Below are 7,508 nucleotides of genomic sequence, written 5' to 3'. Positions count from 1 at the left end.
AAATCAAGAGACTACACTGCTAGAGATACATGATAATGATGATGATGATAAGTAGGTAGATAGGTAGGTAAATAGGTAGATAGATAAGTAGGTAATGAAGATAGACAATAGAGAGGTAAATAATAAAGAGATTGATAGGTAGATATGAATAGAAAGGTAGGGAGATATGAATAGAAAGGTAGGTGATAGACAGATTGACAGACCATTGAATGTAGTAAAGTACCGAAAATTTGAACACATTAAATAGGATACTGAAGTAGAGCGATTCTGAATTCCAAAGCCATGCAGTCAGATTTCAAAAGCTAAGATTTTCACTATAATGGATGTTTCATTTATATAATGAAATATTATGTAGAGGTTTCACTGAAAAAAAAGGCAGATTCATAGGAGAAAAAAAGCATAAAAATTTATTTAATCATATCTGTATATGATACTGGAGGCTTCAGAATGAAAACCCAAAGATACAGGTAAAACTATACATTTTTATGTTCAGGTTCAATGAAGTATGGACAGCTATGTAGAATTATGCTTGGGCAAAATGGTATGATCTAATGCTAATGGACTGAATGGAAAAACCCAGCAAGGCCTTACTGTTTGGATTTTCCTGGCCTCTCTGTGCAGCGTTTCTTTCTTCTGGTATCGGGTGGGACTCTCTCTGCGGTGAGGATCTTATGATATGCATTCAAACAAAGTAGCTCAGATAATTCCTTTATGGCCTGTTTTTAGACCGAAATGTAGGGGAAGTTAGAGTAATATTCCCCTGTCTTGACCTGTCTTGGGGAACAGGGATTTTAATTTCTAAGGCTATACTCAGGCAAGACTGAGGGGCCAGAGACAAGAGACCCCTCAGGAGATCAAAGAGAAACTTTTGTTTCTGAGGCTGCTTCATATTGGGGTACTGCTGTTTCAGCCCCAACAAATTAATCTTGGAGATAATATGATATGTTCAAAAATTATTTATTTAAAAAAATTGCATGCTCAAGCTATGTATTTACTGCAAACTTACTGAATAAAATATCCTTAACTAGTCTTCCAAACTTATGAATATCACCAACTACTCTTCAAAATAATTATATATTTTAACCACACACAAGAAATGTATATTATTTATATATTGCAGTTTATCTGATTGAACTGCATTTTAATATCATCACAATAGTTGTTTTAACCTAGACCATCACAATAATGTACAGGTATGGAATATTAAAATGAAACTTCATATTACTCTTTCTAAATGCCCTAATTTACTGTAATGTCTTATTTACTGTAGTTTAGTAATGAGTTGACGGGTAAGAAGAGAAAAAGAATCACAGGGCCCATTCAGTTATTGAATATAGCTACTTTCACAACACTGTAAGTCTATTATAACTACACAGGAAGAAACTATATGTATTCCTTAGGTTTTTATTATAAAAATGGTAGAAAGTAATATTGAGCAATAAATTACATATGAACAATAATTCAGGTTATATAAACTCCAAAATATTTTGTATTATAAACTTAAGTGTATCAGTCCGTTCTCATACCGCTACAAAGAAATACCCGAGATTTGGTAATTTATAAAGAAAAGAGGTTTAATTGACTCACAGTTCTGCATGGCTGGGGAAGCCTCAGGAAACTTACAATCATGGCAGAAGGTGTCTTTTCACAGGGTGGCAGGAAAGAGAATGAGTGCCGAACAAATGGGGAAGCCCCTTATAAAACCATTGGATCACGTGAGAACTCACTCACTCACCATCACAAAGAGTATGGGAGAAACTGTCCACGTGATTCAACTATCTCCACCTGGCCCCAGCCTTGATACATGGGGATTATTACAACTCAAGGTGAGATTTGGGTGTAAACACAGAGCCAAACCCCATCATTAAGCTAGTTCTAAACTATCATTAAATGACAAAATATATTTTATATAAATGATAATTTAGTTACTTTAAAAACACCAACCAGTTGCAATATGGCTTTACTAGATTTCATACTATGTATGCTTGTATCATATGTATGCAGGAACATATGTATCTATTTGAATACATTCATCTACTGAGGATTAGAATTCCTTTTTATTAAAACAATTAAAACCCCTTGAATGGTTGCTTGATTCATTCATACACTGAACATTTATTGTGGACAGTCTATGTGCGGGACACATCCAGATGCTGAGGACAATGTGGAAGAGAGACACACATGGCATCGTTGCTGCCGCTGCTCACAATATCACGATTAAAAGCTTTCATGATTGAAGGACTTAAATTACCAAAGGTTATATAAATCAGCAACATAATAATTATTTTGTGCCTTAGGTTAATTATTTTGGTGCTTCAGAATAAGCTCAAGATTGTCTGATAGCATCAGTGATTTATTTTAAGCCTGAATCATCTTGGAATATTATTTCATATAGTGTATAGAAATACGAGTGTCAGATAATTTTTTTTACAAAATATGTGTCACTGGATCTCTTTATATTCACCATGTCTTGCCACTTTTTACTTGTTTTACTTGTAGTTTTTCTAGAACTGATTCATCTTAAAGAGTTTCAATGAGAAGAGTTATATGTTATTTAACGGTTATAAAATGAAACTAGTTAAGAGTTAATACCCAGTGACCACCCACGCCAGATGAAACCACCTCTCAATAGTTACTTTATAGCCTTAGAAGTCCTCACAAACGTATCAATGACTTCCTTCTCCAAATTTATGAGCAGATTTTATCTCCTTTTAATATCCAGCTATAAAGATATATTTCTATGTGGAGAAAGAACACAAAATAAAAGCCTAAATAGCAATAGCATAGCAGAGGGTAAAACCTGTTCTGACCATTTAAAAGCACAAGTCACCACATCTCTGCACCTATGGTTGTAGTCGTAACATCCTGGAAGCCCTTAGTGGCCATTGCTTCTATTTGCACCAATCCTGGGAATGCCGCTTCATTAAAATCACTAATCTACTTTTATCAGGCAGAGGCCATATTCTTCTCTTTAAAAAAAAAAAAAAGTGTGAGCTTCTTTATTTTTCCCCTAGCTAAATTAGATGTTTCAGTAGAAGAAAATAATTAGATAAGTTTTTAGCTAAATCTGATTTGCAACTCACTACAAGGGTAGTCAAAGCAGAGACAGTATAAAGAAAAAAAGTATCATTTTAATGGGGGCTATTGATCTATGGTAAAGTATAATTAAAATAGACCTTTTGAATTTTAGTTGCAAAGACATATTATATTCTAATTGCTATAACCTTTGAGAATTGTCAGAAGGATAATAGCTCTGTACAAAGGTTAGAACAGATTTTAGGGAGGAGCTATTTAATCGAATGTGACTATGTGGCACAAGAAATATCAACCTAAAGCAAAATAACACCTACCTTTTTCCCCAACAAAGCAAAGGCAAAGCAAAACAAAATTTTGCATTTATATTTGCAATCACTCTTAAAGGCATACTTCTTTAATAACTAGGAATCAAAACCCATACATATCACAAGTGACAGCAGCCTTACGAAACCATTATTATCTAAGTCATATTGGGCACAGCATGGTAGCTTCTATAAACCAAAAATAAAATTCTAAGTCCCCAACTGAATAAACAGCCCCTCTTCTTGGCCAAGGAAACCCAGCAAAAACTGAAACCCTAGTATAGGTCATGACAGAAAGTAGGGGCTCAGATATGCCCCATTATACTCTCCTCCCTTGGGAGTTCTGCCACAACTGATCAGCATGAACATTAAAACAGAGATTCTCAGACTGACAGAACTGACTCTTCGAAGCAGTAAGATACCAAATTCCAACCTGACTCTAGTATACCATCACATGACATATAGTAGGGCCCTGAAAGAAATACAAGTATTTTACCCCAAAATATGTTTTTGATACATTTTGAAATGGCCCTGCAAAGCTGTCCCTTATGGGGAAACTTACATTCTATAGAGAATCTCCTTCCATTTGCAGGTCTTTTTCTGATCCTAAAGAGATTAGTTGAGAGTCTAACACTTTTCAAAGATATGAATGGGAAACATTAGCCATGTTGCCTTTAAAGGCAACCTTTACCTAGGAGACCTCGTCTGCATAATAAGAACTTTGGTCTCCACAACCCCCGTCTTAACCCAGGCACTCCTTTTTATTGATTCCAGGTCTTTAGATAGTAACTTAACTCTTTAAACTAGCTGCCAATCAGAAAATCTTGGAATCCACCTATGACCTATAAAGCCCCCCACTTCGCACTGTCACACCTTTCTAGACTGAACCAAAGTATACCTCCCATGTACTGACTTATGTCTTATGTCTCCCTAAAACACATGAAACCAAGCTGTAACTCAACCACCTTGCACACATGTTCTCAGGACCTCCTGAGGCTATGTCATGGGTCACGATCCTTAACCTTGGCAAAATAAACTTCTAAATTGATTGAGACCTGAAATTGAATTTTTTAGTTGTATTCTTGACAAAGCTGAAAATATTTAATGTATAGGCATATTTATACATTTTTGAAATATTAATAAAAAATTTTGAAAGACAAAATATAGATGTTTCCAACAATACTTTCATCAACATTTCAAGATTACTATAAGGGTGTTAAAGGTGTCAAAGAAAAATTACAATGGACAGAGTTAAACAGGCAAGGAAGACTTTACTCAAGAAGGCTGATGATGTAAGGTAGACAGATTGAACTTAATTTCATTGAATCAAAAGACAGGAAAACTTTCAAGAACAAGAATGAGCTACGAAAAAATACTGGAAGAGACTAAGGGGGTGGATAGAGAAGGTAGGTAAATGTAATTAGACCACCTGTGTTTGGTAGTTGGTGATAATTGGTGAGTTAGGCTCCTACCCTCCCACAGAACCTGGGAGAAAGGAACATTATCTTTCTTGCTGATTGCATTTCAAAGGAATGGTTCCCAGGAACTTGAGAAAGACATTCCTGGGCTGTAAAACTCACAGGAGCCTGGGAGATGATTTCCATCTCAAAGGGACGGATAATTTACAATGGAAGGTATTCTAAAGCAAAATGATTTATCTGTGAATTATTCAAAAGTCAGCCAATTGGGTCAGGTATAGTTATTTTCTCTCTTTATATCTGAATACGAACTACAGTGGAGTTTGTTTTTTATAGGTTCTCACAGGCAGAATATCTTAAGATAACATTTGCTATTCTCCACCCCAAATGATACACAGTGTAATAAGGCAAATTTAAGGCTAATGAAGCTAATTTAATAGTCCTGAGACTATTAAAAAACGTCAGTACAATGTCTTTTCTAAAATTCAGCTTTGGGGTCACTGACTTACAAGAATTTTGAGAAGAATAAAACCCTCAATATAGTGAAAGATGGTCCCAGAGTTATAGGTAAATGATTACTATGCATGTCTAAACTGAAGTATTTGTCGCTTAATCCTTCCCTAGCTTTTGTTTTCTAGAGTCTTTGGTACAAGACAGGCCAGCAAAATTGTCACTCCAGTTTCACTGGTGGAAACGTGGAGACATGGAGCTATTAAATAATTTCCTAAGGCCACAGAGCCCCTCGAAACAAGAGCCCCTCAATGCAAGGCAGTCAGAGAACGCACTCTTACTTACTGGTTGTGTGAGCATAAAAATTCTCATTTTCCAGATAAGGAATCTGAGACTTTGAGGCCCAGTACCACAAATAGACTAGAGTCAAGTTTGGGTTGTTTACCTGTGCATTTGATATTCCAACATTCAGAGTTCTTAAAAAGTGATTTTTTAAGTTACATATTTTTCACGTTTCACCTCATATCAGACAGTTCTCACATTGCAAAAAAGAAATGCCTAAGAACAGGTAATTTATAATGAAAAGAGCTTTAGTAGACTCACAGTTCCATAGGCTGTACAAGAAGCATAGCTGGGGAGGCCTCAGGAAACTTACAATCAAGTCAGAAGGTGAAGGGGAAGCAGGCGTGTCTTGTATGGCTGGAGCAGGAGGAAGAGGGAGCAGGGGGAGGTGCTCCACACTTGTAAGCAATCAGATCTTCAGCAGGAGGTGCTCTACACTTGTAAGCAATTAGATCTTCAGCGGGAGGTGCTCCACACTTGTAAGCAATCAGATCTTCAGTGGGAGGTGCTCCACATTTGTAAGCAATTAGATCTTCAGTGGGAGGTGCTCCACATTTGTAAGCAATTAGATCTTCAGCGGGAGGTGCTCCACACTTGTAAGCAATCAGATCTTCAGTGGGAGGTGCTCCACATTTGTAAGCAATTAGATCTTCAGTGGGAGGTGCTCCACATTTGTAAGCAATTAGATCTTCAGTGGGAGGTGCTCCACATTTGTAAGCAATCAGATCTTCAGCGGGAGGTGCTCCACACTTGTAAGCAATCAGATCTTGTGCGATCTCACCCACTATTACAAGAACAGCGAGGGGGTAAATCCAGGCCCATGATCCAATCACCTCACCTCCCACCAAGCCCCTCCTCCAACACTGGGAATTACAATTCAACATGAGATTTGGGTCAGGACACAAATCTAAACCATATTATAGCTCCCGAAGTCTCACTTGTTTGAAAACTTTTCTTCACCTGCTGGAAGGAACGTAAAAAATGAGATGATAATGAAGAAAAGCTGGAAGTGGAGGAGGAAGAAAAAGAATAAAAAGACAGCTTCTTTTATGGGCATATTCCTTATTTTCCTAAGTCCAAAAATCCTAATGAGAAATCAGACGGCATTCATTTCTTCTACACACTGAACCTGTCTCTCGGGGAAATCCCTACACGCTGGAATTAAATGAGATTTAGTCATCTCAATTTTGGAACTCATTTAAATAAAATTTTGGTTTCTACTTCATTTTGTTTGTTTTTACAATCTAGAAAGCTGTAATGGGCATTTTAAAATGTGGATGAAGTGTATTTAAAATTTATTTTTCCTCATTATTTGTTATTTTATTGTCCCTCTTTTTGCATGTTTTCTGGCCTATTAGATACTTATTTTTTGCAGTTTCTTTGGCAGGTGATTCTACAGTCTCCATTGTGGGTACCTTTGTTTCATTCCTTTATTTTGAATGGCATGCTCTCATACAAATTGCATAAGTGCCAAAATACTTCAAGGCTATAAAATTATGAGCAAAAATGTTTGGACAATTATTATTAACTCTAAGTATTGTTAATAATCATTCAAAATGTATACATATAGTACCATAAAAACACTGTGTGTAATTAAACCAGAGATTATCTTTAGAATATCAGACTACTACATATTTGTGGTCACCCTTTACAGAGCTTCATGTTGTATACTGAACTTTTAAGTTCACTTACTAATCACAGGGAAGTTTATGCCTGAAAAAAATGTCCAACATGTGTACAAGTTATCTGACTGTTAGAGAAATTTGGTGAACAAATTGATCATGTGAGTCACCCACCCACCAAAACCAGAAGAAAAGCAAGTAAACAAAGAGTGTCATTGAAAAGTTTTTAAGACTGACATGAAAACACTTCCTAGATCACCGGCTTAACCTACACATTGTCTTCAAAAGATGAGTTTTTAATGGGTAAATTCTTAGTTCAGGTTTTAAAAGAAAAAAAT

General features: G+C 36.1%; 2 annotated features.

Moving 5' to 3' along the window:
• Positions 4,506-5,205: an enhancer, noted in NCBI's record as "OCT4-NANOG hESC enhancer chr18:68971933-68972632 (GRCh37/hg19 assembly coordinates)". NCBI's record gives its function as "activates a minimal SCP1, AML or CMV promoter by ChIP-STARR-seq in naive H9 embryonic stem cells {active_cell/tissue: H9 hESC(naive)}" and the evidence as "EXISTENCE:reporter gene assay evidence [ECO:0000049][PMID:30033119]".
• Positions 5,786-6,443: an enhancer, noted in NCBI's record as "NANOG hESC enhancer chr18:68970695-68971352 (GRCh37/hg19 assembly coordinates)". NCBI's record gives its function as "activates a minimal SCP1, AML or CMV promoter by ChIP-STARR-seq in primed H9 embryonic stem cells {active_cell/tissue: H9 hESC(primed)}" and the evidence as "EXISTENCE:reporter gene assay evidence [ECO:0000049][PMID:30033119]".

The sequence above is a fragment of the Homo sapiens genome, chromosome 18, assembly GCF_000001405.40.
Source record: "Homo sapiens chromosome 18, GRCh38.p14 Primary Assembly".
In the NCBI taxonomy this organism is placed as follows: domain Eukaryota; kingdom Metazoa; phylum Chordata; class Mammalia; order Primates; family Hominidae; genus Homo; species Homo sapiens.
Note: the sequence above shows the minus strand (reverse complement) of the source record. Positions and strands in the feature narration are given on the sequence as shown.